The sequence below is a fragment of the Homo sapiens genome, chromosome 6, assembly GCF_000001405.40.
Source record: "Homo sapiens chromosome 6, GRCh38.p14 Primary Assembly".
NCBI lineage: Eukaryota > Metazoa > Chordata > Mammalia > Primates > Hominidae > Homo > Homo sapiens.
Genome location: NC_000006.12, coordinates 127,437,859 through 127,460,868, shown reverse-complemented (window position 1 = coordinate 127,460,868; position 23,010 = coordinate 127,437,859). Strand labels below are relative to the sequence as shown.

Genomic DNA, 23,010 nt, shown 5'->3' with positions numbered 1-23,010 from the left:
CTTAAAGTAAATATAATTATGTCTTTAAGGAAGAATCAGGGTCTGCAAGATCACACAGATAAGTGGTGGCAGCAGAATTGAAACTTAGATCTCTATGACAAAATTCCATGGTTTGCAATCAGACAAAACAGTTCAAACCCGTTTCCTCCACATGGGTGCATTTCTATGAACTTTTGCATGATGCTTTACCACAATGAGCCTTGCTTGGGTTTTATCAGTAAGATCAGATTATCAGTATCTAGAGACAGAATTGCTCTGAGGGTGAACTCAGATAAAGGTCTGTTCAAAGTACTTAGCACAGAACCTTGCAGAGGGTTGCCCCTCAGTGAATAATCACTATTATTACTATAACTATCACTGTTATTGTTGTTATTGCTGTTGAGATTATGATGTCAGGCTTTCCAGACACAGAGTATGGTTTCATTTGATTGTCCTACATGTATTAAAGTCCTACTGTGAGCAGGTTACTATTACTAAACTTTAGCTCCTCATGAAATGTTTATCTGGAAGCAGGTGAAAATAATGTGAGTGAATATGTATTACTTTAAAGACCACACCAGGGAAGCTCTTCAGACTTGAAGATAAGACCTTATTGTTTAAACTTGTGTATTTGCTAAGTTAGGCAAAAAATTGCTCTAGAGACTTTTTTGACTAAATTAAACCAAATATCATCAGATGCATGTGTGTACAAAGCCACAATAAACCTGAAAATGTCGCTGGGGAGGCAAGATCTCCTAGCATTTCAGAACAGGCTGATTTGATCATGATTTAGAGAGCTTTTCCATACACTTAGGCTGCTTTCTCTTCCTATGGCTGCAGCACACTTTAGTGGAAAATAAGCCCATAGGTATCTCATTTTTGGGGTGTGTGTGTGTGTGTGTTTTGTCCTCCCACAATAAGAAATCTCATCCTTTCCCATGGGCTCTGATTTTCTCTAACGTAAAGACATCGCTACTACTGTAGATAAAAGCAACACACTGTCAGAATCACAGAGAGCTAAGAGGTTGGACTTTATGTTCCATTTCTATTTTATTTGAAGATAGAAGTTTGATAACTTTCACAGATCTTTTGAGAGTGCATAATATATATAATTATGCTACACATATTGTTCTGCCACATCCAGATGCAAACTTCTAAAGGTGCAGCAGAGTACATCCTGCCACCAGCTGAGAAGGAGAAAGAATTATGGAAGGAGGGAGATAATTCTTGCCTATAAAAAAATGAGTTTACTTTCCTAATAAAATAAATCTAAAATTGGCCATTGTCATTGTATGATGTTAACAACCAGCTCTTTTGGCAAGTTTGAAAATACTGGGCTCCATTATAAAAGCTAAAAATGTCCTGGACCTGGAGTTGTTTACCCAGAGCATGAGCTGCTCTAAAGTTACAGAGCTCTGGTTGGAAGAGGTGGCTTGAAGGCCGCCTCCAAGTAACTGACGTCACAGTAGTCTCAGCTGCTGCTGTGACACTAAGCTGAGCAGCTTTTTGACTTGTAAAAGTGGTGAAGGTTTCAAAGGGACTTGTCAGTACTGCTCTGTGGAATGGTTGGACTTATTTTGCATCCCCTTTTCTTGTAAAGAATCGAGATTCACCGAGCTGAGACTTTTCTCTTTAAGACAGCTAGCCATCCACTTTCTTCCACTGCTAATTGACCAGTGGTCGAGCATCCATAGGATTTCTCCCCAGTGTGAAAGGTATGTTTCTTTCCGGCAAGTTTACAAGCAAGTGACTAATTATGGCAGGATACAAAGGGGCTGCTGTTGAGATGTTTTAAACTATGGATACTGTTTAAGTGGAGTGTAATTTCAACATCTGTCTCTGCTGTTGTCTGTGTCTGGGCTTAAAAACAGTGGGCGGGGTGCATAACAGATTGTACTGACTCCTAGGAAAAAGGCTGTTCAGCTGCTCAGGGTGGATTTCCCAACTGTGGACTGACAGTACCATCCGCTCTTTGAGACTGTTTTTCCAACACTGCTTCTCAGTTGTTTGAAAAGCACTTTGCCCATCATTGATTTTCACTAAGTATATTTATTCAAATGTGATTTTTTTTATTCATATAAAGACTTTTAACATTTGCAAATTAAAGGTCACAATCCTGGAGACTTGGTATTTGAAAATTGCGGTGAAAAATAAATTTTAGTTTTATCTAAGGTGGTGGTGGACTCACTGTAGAGTTAGTGTTTCTGTAATTTGAGCTGAAGTCTATGCCATTCATAATTGAATAATCTACGTTTAGGAGGGAAACTTACCACTATGTCTTTTGTTCACGATGGTTAGTTTTAGACATTTGTTTACTCAAACCAAATGTTTGCTTTTAAAGTTTGCATTTTATAAGTAAAATCAGTGTGCATACAGCTTGGATGTTTTCTAATTTGAGTAAATAACTGTAAAGAAAACAAGGAAGAAGATAATTAAATGAAACGGTAAAGTTGATTCATTCGGAATTGCATGTGGTAGTGTCTCTTTGACCTTGTTGGAGCATGAGGAATGTGCTAAATCAGCAATACACAGCAATGAAAAAAATTTCCCTTTTACTCTAACAAAATCAAATCATGGTGGTCTTTGGAAAGATTCAATTGCAAGTGAACAATAGAGAGGAATGAGATTTATTAATTCATTGAAATAATTCAAGTGATTATAATAGCCTGGAGAAAGGGATAGAGAATTTAGGAGGTAAATGGTACATTACTCTGATAGGTTATAAGCTGGGGAATTCCTAATCCATCAAAGTTAAGCAGAAGCAAAACATCTTCAGGCCAAATGAGTCTTCTAGGAATTGTGAGATTAGCAGTACCTACTGTGTGTGGCATTTCTATTGGAATATGTAACCTCTTATAAATGAAAAATCTTTAATTATGTGAAAAGTGATATGTTTAGCAAAAGGAAATAAGGACAGCAAGAAACAAGTACTCTAAACAATAATCTAAAAAGAGAGAAGTAGCAATGGAGCAGCTGCCCCTAAGGAACGCTGTTTAGTTTGTTTGGATGCAGTCCAGTTTTCAATGGGCGAGTTGGAGGTTGAAAGGGTAGTGACCCAGGTGTCCTAAGAATGGAGCACCCCTCAGAGAAAGAATTGCTGCCATGACCAAACTGAGGCTAATTTGGGGGTGAAAATAATTTCTTGTGAGACTTGTGTGTTACTCTTAAACTTTGCTTACTGGTAGGGCCGGAAGGCTAGCAGAACTATTTGCCTCCCATCACCATACTTATGCAACCCACTCACAACTCTTTATAATTCTGGCTTTCAGCCCTGGAAAGGGGAAGTAAGTTAAAAGGGATTATGCAATGCTGGTTTAGAGTTGGGGTGTGTGACTAAGTAATGCAGCTCACTCTGTCCTCTTACATTTGCTCTAATAAATTTTTATTCTGAAATGGAATTCTAGAAGGAAGAACATAAACTGGAGAGCCAAAGAGATATGGGGTAGGGGATGCAGATAGCAGAAATCCTTCCTTCTCTCCCACATAGATGCCAGTATCTGTGGGAGAAAATGAGTGACAACTAGGAACAAAAAGAACTTTTATTTTTGCCCCAGTAGAGAGCACTTAAATTGAGTTTTTGAATCTGCTGAACCACTTTACCCCATAACTTCTCATTACGAAACATTCTATCTCTACAAAGTTGCCCCTTCAGTTTGATATTTTTTGTAATATTTAAGTCAGATTTATAACAAAAGCAGTTTTACATAAGATTTGTTCACATTTTTATTAACAATAAAACTTTTTTCTTTAAATATGTGACATGTATCTTTAAAATATTTGAAAAAAGGCAAAAGAAGATCATGGAGAATATGAGAGTTCACACAATTACACTTGCTTCTATCTCGTTTTAAAATAAAGACCAAAATAATCTGTTTTTTTTCCAGAGAACAACATGGAGAGGGATAGATGGAGAAAGAGAGGAGAAAGGGAAGGAGGGAGGAAAGACAAGAAGAGGAAGGGAGGGAACAAAGGACAGAAGGAAGAAAACAAGAACCAAGTATTTTTCAGGCATTTGCTATGATCCAGAGCAGTGTTTAGGCACTTCTTTTAAGCATTTTTCCCTTTTGCTCACTTAATCTCCAAAACAATTCTATGCCCCCCCCCCACCACTTTATATTTAGAGGTGGAAGCAATATGTTTGGCTGCGTTACATCTAACATTATATTTACGACAAGACTGAGATGCTAAGAAGGCCAAATCCTTCCACAAAAAATTGGCACAGATATTGCTCTATAGAAATGTTCTTGCAAAGGCTTGTTTCTGATCCATAACTATTACATTTCTTGGCACTAGCAATTGCTCTGGGCCTGGAAAGGAAAAGCTCCATACATTGGTCCTTCTCCATATTAAGGGATGAGTTTGGCTCTTTGCAAATAGGTGCAGGATTCGGTCTGCTTCAGGACTGTTACCTGGGTTTAGATATAGTCTTGTTATCAAGAGCAAGACTGATCTAGGGTATTCCTGAATGATCTTCCGGTAGGTTAAAAAGAGAAAGGCCTGGCATCTTTCAACAGTAGCATGGAAGCGATTCAAGAAGAGTTAGGAATAGAAGGAAAAATTGGAGCCATTTGCTACATAATTGTAGAAAAGACTTTATGGTGATTTCTGAACATTTCCAATGTTTAAAGACAGTTGGGATAAAACATGGATTTATCATAGCTCCTCTTTTCCAGGTAGCTTGAAATTAGTCTGCATCCTTTTTTAGTTTCTTTGGTTAAATCTGCATTTATCTCTTATTATCTCAAACCACACCATTCTTCCTAAGAAGTTCCAGTGGCAAATACTTTCTAGTCAGCAAGGTAGTTTCACCACACAGTTAATTACGTATAGTTTTAAAGCAGTCTGCTAGTTTCAAGACAGGCACTGTCTGCATTTCCTATGAAGAATTGTTAGACGAACCTAAAAGATTACTAGGTATTCAAGATCAAGATCAATGGAAATTAGATTAGCCAAAACAAACAAAAACCAAAACTCTGTATGTTCTTTACCATCTTTATTTTATTTGTTCTTCACTGACATTTATTATGGCAAGTACTTGTGGTTACTGGTTTATATGTGGGAAAGATAGCAAAGAAAGGGGTGACAGAGGAGGTGGAGAAATGAGGTCAGAAATTGAGCATGGCCAAATGGATAAAATGAGATATGATAGCACCTTTAATAGCCAGATATGAAATTATGTATTTTTCGTGACTGAATTAATCATAATAGTGCTAGTGCCAAAGACATAGGAAAAAATTATCAAAATATCTTTAGTAAATAGTTTGAGAGTAAAGTAACAATATAGATCCCAAAATTATTAGGGTGTTTTGAAGGTAGAACCCTGCATATATAGCTAACATTTTTCATTTCTTATTCTATTCTAATTCATTGATCGTGACTCAAAAAATACAGATTCAAAACTGTTTACTAGTCAGATATGTATGTTCACAACAGTCTGACAAAAATAAAATTAGTGTTCGATATTTAGCTGATATTTAGGATTTGAAATATGCAGTTATCTTCTGTGAATACAAAATTGGCACTTGCTGCTTGGGTATGTGGCCTTAATTCGGCAGTGCCAGCACCCACAAAGCTATTGACTGTTGGGATCTTTGTCCGTAATTAGCATTAGCTGCCACCAGTAAGTTATAGCATTTTGATAATGGCTTAGTGACTGAAGAGTTAGACATCTTATAGGCATAATTATCTTAAACAGAGATTCAAACATTTTAAACATGCTTTTCTACCCCCTAAAAAGGCACATGACTTATTTAATACAAAATTATTTTTAATTGAAGTCACAATGAAATTTTGTAAAGCAAAAAATAGAAAACTTTCTTAAATTTCTCAAACTACTTTGCATTCAGTATGCCATTTAATCTTTTTAACAGTTCTATGACTATCCCCATTTTAATGCAAAAAACTAAATCCCAGAAATTTTAGACTTATACCAGTTACATAGCTGGTATTTTAAATTCTGACTTCAAACCTTAAGTACACGTCCCTGAAGGCTAGAAAGTTAATTATTTCAGTCACTACTTAATGTAATAGAGGATTCCCTGAAAACTGAGCAAAATGTTTTCTTCAGTTCCCTGTATTCAATATCCTAAGCAGTTTATGGTATATAGCCTATTCAAAGGAAAAGAGAGCATGGATAAATTTTAACGTATATTTCACAGGATAGTTTTGATGCTTCTAGATTTTCCTTGATGAAGTGACATAATGAATATATTTTTTATAATTTAGATTAGTTTCTGGATGATACATCAGTCCTAAGTTGACTACCAACTTTGGGGTCTTCATAAGTAACACAGTAATGACATTTGGCACAGGCTTGATCTCTGAATATAGAATTAAGACTGCAAACCAGCTCTGTTTCAGGAATTTAAGTCATAAGAATATATAATCAGGTTGCATCAGAACAGAAAGAATAATTTTATTGCAGCAGAATCTGTCACAGTGTGTAGATGTGAGCATACATTTGAATTGTATACTTACACTCTTATTCATGAAAAAATCTATTTTTAGAGTAAGTGGTTAAAGGGATGATTACATCTCACATGCGCATTTAATCATCTTGTCCACTATAATTTTGCTGTCTGGTCTCAGAAAGGGAAAAAAACTTTGGACAATACTTATTACTTTATTGACTGTGTTAGTTTCTTCTTCTTAAGTAGACTGTTGTCATCTCTTTTCTTTTGAGTCCAATTTTCCTATAGTTTGTTTATGTCAATGGCTCGACAAAATGATAAAATATATTTCCAGAAAGCACATGGATTTGGAACTCTCTCTTGTTATGTTTATATTAGGCTTTATTTTAAAGGCAAGTGAGACTGCTTCAAATAAAACAACTTCAAGCTTCCAAGAAACAGTTAAGAGGAGGCAGAGAAGAGCAGAAACACTTCTTTGCTGACACTTACACTGTTGCCATGGACCTACATAAGCAGTGGGAGAACACAGAGACTAACTGGCATAAGGAAAAGATGGAATTACTGGACCAGTTTGACAATGAAAGAAAGGAATGGGAAAGTCAATGGAAGATTATGCAGAAGAAAATAGAAGAGGTACACTTTAATTTGTTTTGGATATACTGTAATGTTTAAGTGCAGGATGAAAATTCTGTGGGCTGTTTTGTATTGGAAACTGTTTTTGATTTCCTTATTCGACCTAAGAGGTACATTTCTCAGTGACATTTACTAGAACAAAAATAGCATAATCTTATCCAATGGTATTGTAAGGATTATTTTATATCATTGCATGAAAATTAAGCATTTGAAATGTCACTCTATAATGTTTCAACTTATTATTTTCTGGCTAGAGAGCTTTTTTATCAAAAGTGAGGTATGTATTTTGCATGAATTTTCAAATACCAGGTCCAGGAGTAAAATGCAAGAAAGATATACTTGGTGGGACATAGATTAGCAAAATTATAGTTGGGCATTAGAACATAGATCTTTCCTAAGAAGATTTATGAGTAATGTCTATTAAAGGAAATTACATGTTAGATAATGCAGTATAATCAAAAGGAGTATCATATATCAAACAGAAAATGGCAGTAGACATGAGATTTATTCTATCAAGGTGTGCACATTTAGTGGCATATTTATTGGAAAAGGAGTTATGAAAAATGACATATCACGACTCTGACACAGTCATTTTGTTCCCGTTAACCCTCCCTCAGTCCGTTGACCCTGAAATATTTCCTTCAAGCATTTGCATTGATGTATATTCAAGCTTTTGCACCAATTGGAAATAATTTATGCTTATCTTGCTTTCTTTTGGTAACATCCTTAGTATTGACTTTATATGGTTTTATGCACATTACCAAAGTTGTTATTTTAAGACTTCTTGGCCTTTTTTGCAGGCAAAGTAAGTGCTTTATGTGTTTATAGTACAGTCATGTTTCTTATTAACAGCCATGTAATTGACTGTGAATAAAATATGAATTGGCATAGTAGGAAGAAAGCTGAAGAAAAGTAACTATTAAGCCCTTCCTCTAAAATAGAGCTGAGAAGGCAGGCATGTGGTGTATGATTAGGGATTAAAGGAGAATATATACTTCTTGTCCCTCTATAGTTTAGAAAATGTGTCCTGCTTGCTCCTTTAACCCCTCTACCCATACTCGGATTGGATCAACAAAGAGATTCCCTGGTCAAATCAGAATCCAAAACTCCAGCGCAATCAGAAACTGACCTGTAGTCCTAGGTCATTGCCTTCCAAATGTTTGGGAAGTTCAGTTCATAACAGTCTCAGACAATTCTAGCATCCAAGCAAAATAACTAAGGGATGCAGGATTAGTCTAGCCAATTTTTTAAAGCCATGTAGTTAAAAGAAGCTGCTGTCTGATTAAATTTATTACTGTCCAATAATTATTCTGACAATTCTATAGAGTTCATCTATGGTAAATATTAGCTTTATCAATTAGCAGGCATGAAATATGCTTTAAACATCAAATTATACCTCATAGAGATAACATCCCTTTCTGTATCAGAGAGACAAACGGGCTGTCATATTTTTTTATCTTGGAGAGTAGCTGTACTGCTGTTTATGTTTTGCTGCCTGTGCTATACAGCTCCATAACTAAACTAAAATTAAGAAATCAACACTTGGAAAAATAATCTCATGCCACAAGCATAAAAGATTGTATTTGTTTAACATTTATCACAAAGTTCTGTATGTTAAATCAGATGTAAATTATTAAGCCATGTACTAGAGAACTGTAGATTCCCAGGTATGCACATATATCTTCAGTGACTTTAAGTGATAATATCTAATGAGAGGATGCAGTGTTGGCTATTAAGATGCTCGTAGTTCCCTGTTCAGCCACTATCCACAGTCATTGCATTTGCTATGGCAAAACCAAGATGTTCATACTTGGATCATTTGAAATTTGAAATAATCCAGATAGAAATTCTGGATAGAACTTATAGACGTCTGGGGTTTTGTTTTGTTTTTTTCCACACTGTAGTCTCCTGCCTGTATCCTTTGGTAGAATAATCAGATAACCATTGACAAGGGCTGAGTACCAAGTAACATAGTACCTTTGTACAAAATAGTTTTCCATCAATAACATTGTTATTTGTTGATTCATACCTCACCTAAATCAAGAAAATTTAAGATGGCATAAAATTAGGTATGATATAAAATATGCAAAAACAAAAATGGAAAGATGAGCTGAAGACAGGAGGAAGGATCATATATGAAATGTACCAGTGAGTCTTTCTAGTAACTAACAAAAATTATCAGGTGCATATACCTTCAAATTCAAATGATAAGGCAAACTTATTTCCCAGGAATAGCACATTTTTCCCGGTTTTGCAACTAAAGCAATTTTGTTTTCACTCATGACTTCGCAAAAACAGGACAGTGTCACCAAGAGCATCCTTAGATTTAACATGTCACTTTTTAGGGTTCCTTCTTATATCCCTCAAGGTCAGCTCAAACCATAATGCCCGCAGAAGTTCAGTACAAATAATTTGGCAGGGACCAAACAATCAATTCATGGCTGCAGTTTGATGCTATCCTGACTTCATACAATAAATACTAATACATTTGTAAGCATTAGAAAAATAAATACACTGTATATTTTTCAGGCATCAACTCTAGTGCTTCTCTCAACTGAGTTATCGGTATGTATTAAGCAGCAATAAATCTATTATATTACTTGAATAATACATGTAGTGTAGATATTGATTGCGGCTGTTAAACATAGAGTCATTTGCTTTGATAGTCATCTGACAGTCTCTTTTGAAGTTTGACAAGCTTTTACATGACCCAAGCCTAAAGAGAAAGCCATTTCTTTCCTCTATTCAGAAGTGAACTGAATGAGTGTGTGCAGGTTCAACTAAGATCTCATAAAGAAGTAATCTGGATTCTACCTTAATACAGACTAATAGATGATCAAAGCCTTGCAGTTCTATTATATCACGTAGGGTATTGTCATATTTGTTTTAATCTGGATGAGAAATATTTTAAAAATGTGTATCACTTTGAGATTTTTTAAAAATCTCAGTAATATCTAGCCCTCACAATGTAATTGACCAACCAAAGGAAACATCTTTTGACTGACAAGTGACTGTTTAGGGAACAAGAATAAGTTGACTTACTATCTGAGATTGTCAAGCATTTAGACAGTTAAATGTTAGTGTACAAGTAGGACCAGACATTTGAAAACTATGACTTTAATGTTAAATTCTTGCATCTCTCTGAAAGCAATTATATAATATGGCCAGTAATTGATTCAGGTCATTCTAATTTTGTGACAGTGTTTCTGTATTTATATACAGATACAGATTTATTTTATTTTTGAATGATTGATTGCTAGTCAAAAGAATTAGCATCCATGTGTTGCCCTACTAAAAGTAGCCTTTATGTTTCATCAAACTTGTTCCAGCTAATCCATATTTTAGAGGCACTATTTGGAGGCCGAAGCATTAATACCCAGGAAGTATATTTTAATATGGCAAAGAGAACTCAAAGCGGTTTGCTTAGTATCAAGAATATTAGCAAAGTGAATTAGGGGAAAAGAAGTTTTAATTTTGTTTTGTTTTTCTTACAGCTTTGCCGGGAAGTAAAGCTTTGGAGGAAAATCAATATCAATGAAAGTGCTAAGATCATTGATCTTTACCATGAGAAGACCATTCCAGAGAAAGTGATAGAATCTTCCCCAAATTACCCCGATTTAGGACAAAGTGAATTTATAAGGACGAATCACAAAGATGGTCTGAGAAAAGAAAATAAAAGAGAGCAGAGCTTAGTCAGTGGAGGAAATCAAATGTGTAAGGAACAAAAAGCAACAAAAAAATCAAAAGTAGGGTTTTTGGATCCTTTGGCTACAGACAACCAAAAGGAATGTGAGGCCTGGCCTGACCTGAGGACTTCTGAGGAAGACAGCAAGAGCTGTTCTGGCGCCCTCAGTACAGTAAGTAAGATGTGATTGGCCTAGAACTGTTTCTAAAGAAATATTTACATTTCAAAGTGCTAACGGGCTGTTGCTTATATGTGTAAAGGCTCTTGAAGAACTTGCGAAGGTGAGTGAAGAATTATGCAGCTTTCAAGAGGAAATTCGAAAGCGGTCTAACCATAGAAGGTAGGCTGGTACATCTGATTATTTTAGATGGGTAAATAAAAAATAATATTGTTTTTAGTTAATGACTCCAAACTGCCTCCTCCTTACATGTAAGAACTAATGAGTTATTAAAATGTACTATCTAGGGTGGGAGATAGAAACTTTAATTTTTTGTTTGCTCGTTTGTTTTTGAGATGTTATCTTGCTCTGTCTCCAAGGCTGGAAAGCAGTGGCATGATCTTGGCTCACTGCAGCCTCTGCCTCCCAGGTTCAAGCGATTCTCCTACCTCAGTCTCCCAAGTAGCTGGGACTACAGGCACACACCACCACGCCCAGCTAGTTTTTTTGTATTTTTAGTAGAGACGGGATTTCACCATGTTGGCCAGCATGGTCTCGAACTCCTGACCTCAAATAATCCCCCTGCCTCAGCCTCCCAAAGTGCTGGGATTACAGGCGTGAGCCACCACGCCAGGCCAGAAACTGTAATTGTATATTTCTCTGTTCACTAATTCTTAAAGCAAATCTTCCAATTCTCTTTGTAATCTATTAGTAATACTTTACTCTTTTTCGTGTCTAATTAAGGTAGACCCTCCATAAAAAATCAGTAAGTAACCTCTAAAGTAGTTCTTTCTCATTCTGAGCATTTGGACAATGAAAGTGTACAACTGGGCTAATTCAGTTAAACGTATCATTAAACGATGTCAGAATTAACAGTGTGGCGTTTTGCTTATATAATCATGTTCTACTAAAATATTTAATGCTTAAGAGCACTTTATTTTGCTTCAATTCGTGTTTATGTAATGGAGGCCTACATACTTTTCAGAACAACATATTGTAAATATGTACACATGTACGCGTGCCACAAAAAATGCTGTTTCCATTTGGAAACAGTATATACTTAATAACAGTAAGTTTTAGCCAAATTAACAAATATATTGGAATTCTCTACAAGTTTAGTAAAGATGGATTATTCTAGGATCAACATTTATCTCTCCTCGTGGGTCAGTAGGCTTCCTACATTCCCTTATTTTTCATTAGTTGTTAGGAAGCTCAGAAAGAATTTTTGTGCTGACTTGCAATAGATTTTCTTAGCCAATCATGTTTTAAACATAACTTTGTCCTCTATTTGCCTATTTAGCTTTTCTATTCTCTGTTAATAGGTATTTATCCACATTTTATTGTAAGCTATCCCATAATCTTTTATAATTTGAAGAGGTATAAATATGATTTATATTTATCAGTGTGATTAAGTTTGAATTGCGATATTTAGTTTTTTATTTAATATAACTCAGAAAAGACTTACTTGCCAATTTTCTTTTACAAATCACACCTAATATAATGTTCTTATTGTCACCCCATGGACTTTAGAACAAGGTTCAAGATATTTGTAATTCAAAGACATTACAATTTGACATAACCTAATGTTTCTCTCTCATTTTTCATTATCCTCCCCACTCTGCTTTATAATTAATCCATATCAAAGTACTCATTTTCCTTCGAGTAGCCATAGTATTTAATCCTTTTGCCTTTTACTTCAATCCTATATGCCTTTTACTCAAGTCATCCAAAAAATTTTTACTTTTTTTCAAGACCAAATGACACTTTCCATTTGGAATTACTCATATCTCATTGCACTTTTATTCAGATTTGTATCTGACTACTTAAAATGTTATTTCAAATTCAAGGAGAAGAACTTGAGCTCACATTACATAATGAATAAGAATTCAGCAGGCAGAGAGAAGGTAAGGGAATGGCAAGATAAAAGCTACAGAGAGAGAAATGCCAGTAGCAGAAACCCAGGAGACTACATAGTTTAATCTGAGGGTAGGTGAAGTCTCAGGTAATAGTGAAAATGAGAGACAAGTTTGGAAAGAGTTTGAGTCAGAGTGTGTAGAGCATTGAATATAACACTGAGAGGTAGACTTCATTCCACCATAAAAGGACTTGAAGTTTTTGACTGGGAGATTTATGTAAAAATGATGTATGAGGCAGTTGTGAATCCTTTTCTTATAGCAGAAACTCATTGCTTTAGCTATGTTTGCTTTTGAGAGCTTATTCTAAATAAAGTTATAACCAATACACCATGTTTTATCATTGTTTAGGATGAAGTCAGATTCTTTTCTCCAGGAAATGCCAAATGTAACTAATATACCTCATGGGGACCCCATGATCAACAATGACCAGTGCATTCTTCCAATCAGTTTAGAAAAAGAAAAACAGAAAAACAGGAAGAATCTGAGCTGTACCAATGTGCTCCAGAGCAATTCTACGAAAAAATGTGGAATTGATACAATCGATTTAAAAAGAAATGAAACTCCACCAGTTCCTCCTCCAAGAAGCACCTCTCGAAATTTTCCCAGCTCGGATTCTGAACAAGCCTATGAAAGATGGAAGGAAAGGTTAGACCACAACAGCTGGGTGCCCCATGAGGGTCGAAGTAAAAGGAATTACAACCCTCACTTCCCTTTGAGACAACAAGAGATGTCTATGTTGTATCCAAATGAAGGGAAAACTTCGAAAGATGGTATCATCTTTTCCTCTTTGGTACCAGAAGTCAAAATAGATAGCAAGCCTCCAAGTAATGAAGATGTTGGACTTAGCATGTGGTCATGTGACATTGGGATAGGTGCAAAAAGGAGCCCCTCTACTTCGTGGTTTCAGAAAACCTGCTCTACCCCCAGTAATCCAAAATATGAAATGGTGATCCCAGATCACCCTGCTAAATCTCATCCTGATCTTCATGTAAGTAATGACTGTAGCTCCTCAGTAGCAGAGAGCAGTAGCCCACTTAGAAATTTCAGTTGTGGCTTTGAAAGGACTACAAGGAATGAGAAGCTGGCAGCAAAGACTGATGAATTTAACAGAACTGTATTTAGAACAGATAGAAATTGTCAGGCAATACAGCAAAATCACAGCTGCTCAAAATCATCGGAGGATCTCAAGCCCTGTGATACCTCATCTACTCACACAGGTAGCATATCACAAAGTAACGATGTGTCCGGTATTTGGAAAACCAATGCCCACATGCCTGTGCCCATGGAAAATGTGCCTGATAATCCCACCAAGAAATCCACAACAGGCCTAGTAAGACAAATGCAGGGACACCTAAGTCCTCGCAGTTATCGAAATATGCTCCACGAGCATGACTGGAGACCGAGTAATTTGTCTGGCCGTCCGAGGTCAGCTGATCCCAGGTCAAATTATGGTGTTGTGGAAAAGCTGCTGAAAACCTATGAGACAGCAACAGAGTCTGCATTGCAAAATTCTAAGTGCTTCCAGGATAATTGGACCAAATGTAATTCTGATGTCAGTGGTGGTGCCACATTAAGTCAGCATTTAGAAATGCTCCAAATGGAACAACAGTTTCAGCAAAAGACAGCTGTGTGGGGGGGACAGGAAGTGAAGCAAGGAATAGATCCGAAAAAGATAACAGAGGTGAGAAAGCAAATATAACATAATTTGGTAGCATCCATATTAGCAATGGCTCTGAATCATGTTTATATGTCCAATTCATATAAATAGAATGAGGGCACAAGTTTTGGACTCTTCTTAGCCTCTTGACCCTGTTTGTAAATAAATATAACTCAACATGAACCTTGAAGGTGTAGTTTTTAACACTGAGAATAGTACATTGTAACTTTTGAAAAATTCTGAAATGGGATAACATAAATACAGTAAGTGGATTTAGGAACCTGAAGAAGATCAAATGTTTGCTCTTTCTTGAAAAAATACTCAGAATGGACATTACTCAATTTATAGAATTTCATTATTTTAAAGGTTCTTTTTTAAGTGTATGGAAAATATTTTTAAAATCGTTTTCATTTTTCAGTTATTAACTATGATTGGTTCAGTCATTCTCAGCATTTGACTCATGTTCTTTCTCATAGGATTAATCACATTAATATGAATATGGGAAATACACATCATTTAAAACAGTGCCTAATAGAGTCCTTTTATCTGTGGAACTAAAAGATAGTATATATAAATAAGGTTATTCTTATTTGTATGTATTCTTAGCATAGAAATTGACCAAAAAAACCCCACTCAAATGGACATTTTAAGTAAACTGTTATCTTTTTTTGTTCCTGTCTATTTATGAAAGAGTTTAATCTTCATTAGTTATAAGAGAAAAAGAGGTCAAAGAAATTGGTATTTACAAAGAAGAGTTATACAACACTCTCTTTTACTCATATAATTTTTAAGAAGCTAACAAAAATTACAAGGTGACATATTGTTGTTATTAACCAATACTTCAGAACTCCTAGTTTCATAGAATGCAGTGAGTACGCAGCATGGTTTTAAACTATTATGCAAGTTGCTTCCTTCTGGTGTAAAAAACTACTATGTGGATTTCAAACCCTGCAAAAATATCAGTTTTCATCCATCTTATGAGAAATCTTGCCTGTTTTTATAAGGTGCAGAAAGTATCCTGCTTTTGTATTTCTCTGCTTTTTAATTGAGCCCATCAATGCCCACAAGGTCCTATAGCTAAAGATGGGAAATAGATATATCTGTACAATAACCAAACAAAATTCTTGTTAACTAACAAGAAATAATACTGAGTGATTTCCCTTTTTGCATTCATTGGGAGTTTGGCAGGGAGGTTCTCTACTATAGATCCTCAGGAGCAGTTTTTGTTTTTGTTTTTTGTTCTTCCTCCTGTGGGAACAAATCTAGAAAATAAGTCTCCAAAAAGAAAAAGAAACTGCAGTTTACTGTCAGACCATGGCTAAAATAGTAGAAATAGGAGGCCATCCTCACTGCCTAGCTCAGATGAAAGAGCACAGGCTTTGTGGGGTCTAAGAAGGGTCAATAAGAACCAAGTGTATAAAGTGTGTCATGGAAGCTTTGTACTTTTGTTTTAATTTTAAGGACCAAGGAATGCTTTTTTTCCATTAAAATAAAAGGAAAGAAGGAAGAAAATAAAAGAAAGAGAAGAAAAGTGAAGGAAAAGGTTTTCTCTCATCAGAACATGCCCAAGAGATAGCAATTTTGTATTAGTAATTAGAATGAAGATGTATTTAAAAGTATTTTAATGATAATTTTAAGGTTTTGATAGATAGTGCCAGTGATAGTGAAAAAAAAAAGCATCAGATTAATCATTTGGTTTGTGTGCCTTTTGCGTATCACCTCTAAAAGTGTCAATGAATTTGACATAAATGAACAGTTTCTTCTATAAATTATCTTTTTATTTTTAAATAACACTGTAACATACTAACAGCGCACTAAGAAACATCTGTATTTCCATGATATTCAAGTTATTTAACTTGAAATTTTAAATCCTGAGCTCATCATTAGTTCTACAGAGAGATTAACTGTATTAAAATTTGTCAGTGTAAGGAAAGGTACAAAATTATCAAATATCATATTCCATATTAAAATTGAATTGCTTTAAAACATTCAAAACCACAAATATTAGACAACTACCTTCTTTAGTTTTCAATGCTTTTTCTTTCTTGTAAATTTACTAACGGACTAATCTTATAGTTGAGACCCATCATATATTAAGCCTATTGTTGGTACCCAGAGAGTGAGAGGAATGTTTTTACTTGTGTCCTAGGAATCCATGTCAGTGAACGCCTCACATGGAAAAGGATTTTCCCGACCTGCTAGACCAGCAAATCGTCGTCTCCCCTCCAGATGGGCATCCAGATCTCCATCTGCACCCCCTGCCTTGCGGAGAACTACCCACAACTATACCATTTCTCTGCGATCCGAAGCATTGATGGTTTAAGTCTTTGGCCTGGATTGCTATATTACAGAAGTTCTAGTCCCACTTGTCAAACAGAGCATTCTGAGTGTTTACAGGCGGACCTGTTCTCTTCCGACAAGCAATTTGAATCTTAACTTTCCATCAGTCTTCAGTGTTTTTAATCTAAGGAATAATTATCTTCCTGCATTTTGATTTCTTAGATCAGAATTTTTTAATGCCATCCTCATTAGTTTTCCAATACAATATAAGTTGAAACAATGTACAATATTGTATATTCTTTGTTGCAAGTGGCAGAAAGTAAGGTTATGTGCATGGCCATGTGTTTGTAGGTGCATGTGTTGAAATAGGAAGTATCCTAGTATGTATTTAGATATGAAAAACTTATGTGCTAGTGTTGACTTTGAAATTATAACATGTATACCTATATATTCTTTGTGTTTATTTAAAAGTTTTGAAAATATGCAGTACTGTTTATATTTTGTATACCTTTTAATAGGTATCCACTTAAGGCATTTGCAGTACAAATATTAATTGACCACTTCCTTGGCCCCCAGCTACAATGAAAAAGAAGAATTATGCACACATCTAACATTGGTAGATTTCTAAAGACAACTCATAAATAATTTCTTAACCCATATAAGGATAAAATAATACCATTGATATTCTTGTTTATTCTTTTTAAATAAAAATGTCACAAGTTTAATAGATCAGCCTTGTAAAGCAAGCATAAAATGTTCATAAATGTTTTATATATTATTTGGTAGTCTAGTATGGCTTTAACTGAATATTTGATCCTCAGAGACAGTATCATGAGACTGCATTATAAATGACATGATTAAATGATGAATTTATTTTGTCAGCCTCAGCAACAAACATTTCCTAAATGGGATGCAAAAAGAAACTGAATGATGTTGAATTTTAGTTTTTCTTTAAGTTGTGGTAAGCTTTTAGTTTAGCTGCTTTAACATGGAGTCATACATACTTAGAGGTAAGTCATTTATTATTTTTTTCCTTTTTCTAATCTTTTCCTTAAAATTAATAGATAACAAACTAAGTTACTTTTTTACTAACAAGGAAGATCAGGAATAATATTTCTTTGAAAGCTGAAATTATACTTCTCACAGTTTGCTACCGAAAAAAGGCTTAAACTAAACCTTGACATCCACAGTAGCATCAGGAATAGAAATGTGTATTTTGGCTACAGTTTGCATACAGTGAACACATAAAATCTATATTGAAAACTGACAGAAATATGAATGTCGAGGGGCTTGGAATTCTAAATGGAAGATTTTAGAAGGAACTTTGCTCTCTACTGTCACTATATAAAACCAATTATGTTATGTTATTAGATATTAACTCTATTTAAGCTTTTCTTTTACTAAGAAATTCTTATGCCAAATGTATTCCAAGAGCCATCTCCTTATGATGTATTTGAACCATTTAGAGAAATTCACTTCATTGTACCCCATGACCTGAGGTAAAGAAAATAATTTTCAAATTGCAGACTTCCTTGAAAGGCTCAAGACTGTAGCATGGTGATGTCTAGATTCATACTTTACTGTAAGGACAGTTTCGGTAGTTAAGTGGAATTAAAGGTCTAGAGTGATTTGTATTGGATGGTAACTAAGGTCTATACATCTACTCTTTTAATTCTTATTTCCTTCAGGAAGATCCTTTTCCACAGGAAGCTATCAAAGAAAAGTAAACTAGACACCAAGTAATATCACTCTCATAATATGCTTTCCAGCTAGAGGGGAGAAAACACCAGGAAAGAGGAACCCTGGGTCATAAAATGACGGACCTGTTAGGAAAATGCTGTTGTGTGACAATGGAGAGCCTGCCCAAGGACTGTGCAACCTATCTGTTCCTCTCCACCAGTGTATCCCAAGTAGTCTGGTATGATCTGTGGTTCCTTAGAATATTGAGGATCTCTTTAAAAAATGAAATTTCTGATCTCACCCCATATTACTAAAGCAAAATTTCCAGGGGTAGGGACTGGGACTCCAGAACCATTAATAAAACAAAACAAAACAAAGCAAAATATTGATGATCAGGCAGATTTGAAAACAGTGACATTGCTTGATCTCTGAATGGATGGATGCCCTTGGGTGGTCACTTTTCTTCCTAGGACTTGCCTTTGTTATCTGTAAATTAGAATGGCTATACTTTCAGACTTCACAATTTTAAGCCACTTTTTTCTATTAACAGTTGAATGAACCAGTGGGACACATTTTAACGTCTTCTTATGTTGACTAAAATTATAGTTAGAGCTGAGAAAAAAAAAATAGCATCTAGTCCAACTCCTTGATTGTAAAACTGAAAAACTAAGGTTATTTGAATGTTCTGTTTTCTCTTTTTAAATATTTTATAACTTTTAAATGGAAAAACCTATTAGGTAAATGGAAATAATCCTTGAAAATAGTTTTTGATGTTTTGTGATTTTTAACTGGTAAATTTCTACTTTAGGTGGGCATTTTCTTCCCTAGAATATGCCCTTTATTATGCTATCATTGCTAGATTTAAAGGGACTTGTAAGCATTTCTGGAAATATTTGATTTAAAAACATATATTAATAGATGTTTTCCCTAGCAGACTTTTGGAGCAAAAATATTATTTTAGTTCAGCAGAGGATTACTGATATTATGGGCTGATCTCAGAAAGGAATAAGGATGAGGCAGAGAGGAGTACTTGAGTTTGTGTGTGTGTGTGTGTGTGTGTGTTTGTGTCAGTGTCACATAAGTTCTCCATATTGCCTTATGTCCCAAAGCCAAATATAAAAATATAAATGATGCTTTGTATAATTCATTTTATCAAAAATTACCCATAACTTTCATTTGTTTTTATATCGACAATGAAGATGATCATATTTCATTTTGCAGATGTGGCCATAAAATATTATTTACTTCTATATAGGTGATTTTACCAGGTTTAGTTATCCTGAGAAAACATCTGGACTTAAGAGTTTCTGCTTCCCTACAAAGATCTTTAAAGTTATTTTTAGGCACATTTGTGACAAACAACTACTTGATATTGAAATCTCCTTCAGCCATTAGAAGCTATCAAATAAAGTAGGTGTAAAAACAACTGTCTGTGGCATTTGTATACATCGAGAACATTTTTCTTTCCCTCATTTTCTGCAGTGAACTCCAGTAAAGCTAAGTGTCTTATGAAATCTAAACTCATATATGTACACAGTTCACTCTAGCTTCTTCCAAAATATCTCTAGGTAGTACAACTGAAGCCAAACCTGCCTGACTTCCTGCTCCTGGCCACCCAAAACTCCATATGGCTTCTCGTACACTGACATCCTCTCTCTACCCATTTAACTGCTAATTGAGTCTGATAAAAGTCTTCTTTGAAAAAAGTTTTTACTTCTAAGATTTGCATTTACATCATAAAATTAAACCATTTTCAGGAAAATCAGATTTTTTTATTACAGTACTATTTGCTTTAAATTCGGCATGTTTTTCTTAAGTAGCAAGTACATGTATCGGAACTTAGAACTGGTGGGCGCGGTGGCTCTTGCCTGTAATCCCAGCACTTTGGGAGGCCAAGGTGGGGGGATCACGAGGTCAGGAGATGGAGACCATCCTGGTTTCATCACGGTGAAACCCCCTCTCTGCTAAAAATACAAAAAATTAGCCAGGCATTGTGGTGGTCACCTGTAGTCCCAGCTGCTCGGGAGGCTGAGGCAGGAGAATGGCATGAACCCGGGAGGCAGAGCTTGCAGTGAGCAGAGATCGCGCCACTGCACTCCAGCCTGGGTGACAGAGTGAGACTCTGTCTCAAAAAAAAAAAAAAAAAAGAACTTATAACTATGACTTGTTCATCTCACCCTGAAAATATGTTCCTACAAGAAAATGTGCTTTGCAAAGCAAAAAAGGCAAAAATTGGGGATGAGTTCTTCAGACAAGTACCAAAAATGATTTCTCGTCATTTTTATTGTATGCATATTCATCATAGAAAATAATTTTTTGTTTTATTGGGAATAAAATCATGATACTTAAAATCTGATACACATTTCAATGATAGTATTAATCCAATAGGTTAAATTAACAAATTCTTAGGAAAAAAATCTGTTTATATGAAGCTATGGAGAAATCTAGAAAGTAGGTAACGGTTTAGATTTTGAGGGACCTATGAACTCAGAACAAGTTCATTTAGAGGTGGGAAACCTGAGATTCAAAGAGGTCTGCATGGCTGCCAAGATTGCAGGGACAGAATCCAAGCCTGGGCTCACTCATGATCTGCTCTCCTGTATAAATGTCCCATGTGCATCTATGACCTTATTGTTTGCAAAGCAAATTCATATTCCACGACTTGTCTGCTTCTTACAACAAACTACAAGGCAGGCATTGTGATTTCTAAGTAAGAAGGAAAAATTAAGTAGTCAAGATAATATTTAGAATAAATATTTTTGAAGATGATAGTTAAATAGATGGCTCTTCAGACTCCTAGCTCAGGCTATTTTTCCAGCCTTCTTTTCCCAAGGAAGAGAAGACAAAAAAAAAAAAAGATTGAACAGCTCTTTTTCATTTTTGTTTTGTTCATTTTATACATGACACAAATTGTTTATCTTGCTCTCATTGGGAGTTTCTGTTGATTCCCTCTTTCAATGATCATCAAAAGTCATCACCCCTGACTTAAATGGTTTTATGAAATTCAAGAAGTTGTGAACAAGGCTTTAACAAAATATTTCCACTTTTAATGCCTATGCTCTGATTTTATATAAATTTTGTATGTAGGACATGATGTTGAAGTAAAACCAATAAATAGCCAATCAGTATTCATCTCTAGCGTCAACTGAATCCTGACCTCAATCTTCAAAAGAATCAGAATAGTTTCACACTTCATAAGTTACATATACTCCAGAATAAATAAAAGCAGTTTGCTTGAAGTATTATCTTGGCTCATTTGTGCTGCTATAACAAAACACACTTGAGACTGGGTTATTTATAAAGAACAGAAATTTATTTCTCTACAGTTCTGGAGGCTGGGAAGTCCAAGATCAAGCTGCAAGCAGATTCGGTGTCTGGTGAGGGCTGCTGTGTGCTTTCAAGGTGGTGCCTTATTGCTGTGTCTTTATATGGCAGAAGGGGCCAACAATGGAGAAACAGCAGAATAGCAAGAAGCAGCTGAATGCTATGTGATGCTTCTTTTATAAGGGCCTTAAATCCCATTCATGAAAGAGAAGCCTTCATAATCCAATCACCTCCTAAAGGCCCTACCTCTTAATATTGAAGATTAAGTTTCAACATGAATTTTGGAGGTACGTATTCAAACCATAGCAAGCATACAGTAATTTCCAATATAAACCTCACTCAAAATTACAGTCACATGCTGCACAAACCAGTTCAATGCACATATATGATGATAAGATTATAATACAATATTTTTGCTATACTTTTTCTATGTTTACATATACAGATATCATTGTGTTACAATTGCCTTTAGTATTCAGTACAGTAACATGCTGTACAGGTTTGTAGCCTAGGAGCAATAGATCATACTTTCAAGCCTACCATCTAGATTTATATAATTACACTCTGTGATGTTCGCTCAGTGATGAAATCACCTGAGAACACGTTTCTCAGATCATATCCCTGTTGTTAAGCAATGTGACTGCAATTGTGCTCTGCTGCCAGTTTATTTTTGAAGCTTTATTTTTCAATTACTTACTCATGGCAATTTTATAAGAATCATTAAACAAATTTAATCCAGCTATTTGGGATCTGCAGATTTTTTCTTACATAATGCTGACCAGTCTCAACACCAAATTGTCTAACCTGAATTATATATTTGTTTATTTGAATATTTTCTTAAAATTTTCTGTTTAAAATTAACCCAGTAAAGGGTTTTTTGAGTTAATGATATCTGTAGTAAAATAGTTCATTTGCAATGAAAGCCAGAGAAGCACCCACAATATTCTTTAGAGGAAGCTACATGTAGGAGTAATAGGGGGCAAAAGTCTCCATCTGTGAAAACTCAGGAGGTAAATGATTGGGAATAAAGATTCTTCCTAGAAAAGCAGAGGTAAGGAGAGAGATACTGAGACCTGGCATGCCACCTAGTTAAAGATGGTGGCCATGTAGCCCACAGAGCCAGAGCTAAGTGAATTTATGAGGTATTCTACTTAGCAAAAGCAAGCATCTAGGCTTTCCAGACAGATCCAGGGGCTGGGAAAAGCACTACATCGAGGACTCCAGGGTGGACAGTGCTCACAGGTCAGATAGGCAGTCCATCCTCAAGGAGATCTCTTCCTAAAACAGCA

The 23,010-nt window shown here is 35.4% G+C and overlaps 1 protein-coding gene and 1 long non-coding RNA gene across 2 annotated transcripts in view; both read left to right on the top strand.

Moving 5' to 3' along the window:
• Positions 1 to 22,463, top strand: part of SOGA3-KIAA0408 (SOGA3-KIAA0408 readthrough) — an 80,930-nt gene extending 58,467 nt beyond the window's left edge. The window contains exons 8-13 of the long non-coding RNA NR_174482.1: positions 6,768 to 7,022; positions 9,552 to 9,587; positions 10,517 to 10,879; positions 10,968 to 11,047; positions 13,129 to 14,461; positions 16,587 to 22,463. This is a non-coding gene — a long non-coding RNA (SOGA3-KIAA0408 readthrough). The remainder of the gene's footprint in view (positions 1 to 6,767; positions 7,023 to 9,551; positions 9,588 to 10,516; positions 10,880 to 10,967; positions 11,048 to 13,128; positions 14,462 to 16,586) is intronic.
• KIAA0408 lies at positions 1,480 to 22,463 on the top strand. Its single transcript, NM_014702.5, has 6 exons — positions 1,480 to 1,694; positions 6,768 to 7,022; positions 10,517 to 10,879; positions 10,968 to 11,047; positions 13,129 to 14,461; positions 16,587 to 22,463. The coding sequence occupies exons 2-6, from the start codon at positions 6,888 to 6,890 to the stop codon at positions 16,758 to 16,760; spliced, it is 2,085 nt and encodes a 694-aa protein (NP_055517.3). The 5' UTR covers positions 1,480 to 1,694; positions 6,768 to 6,887; the 3' UTR covers positions 16,761 to 22,463.
• Positions 22,464 to 23,010: the final 547 nt, after the last annotated feature.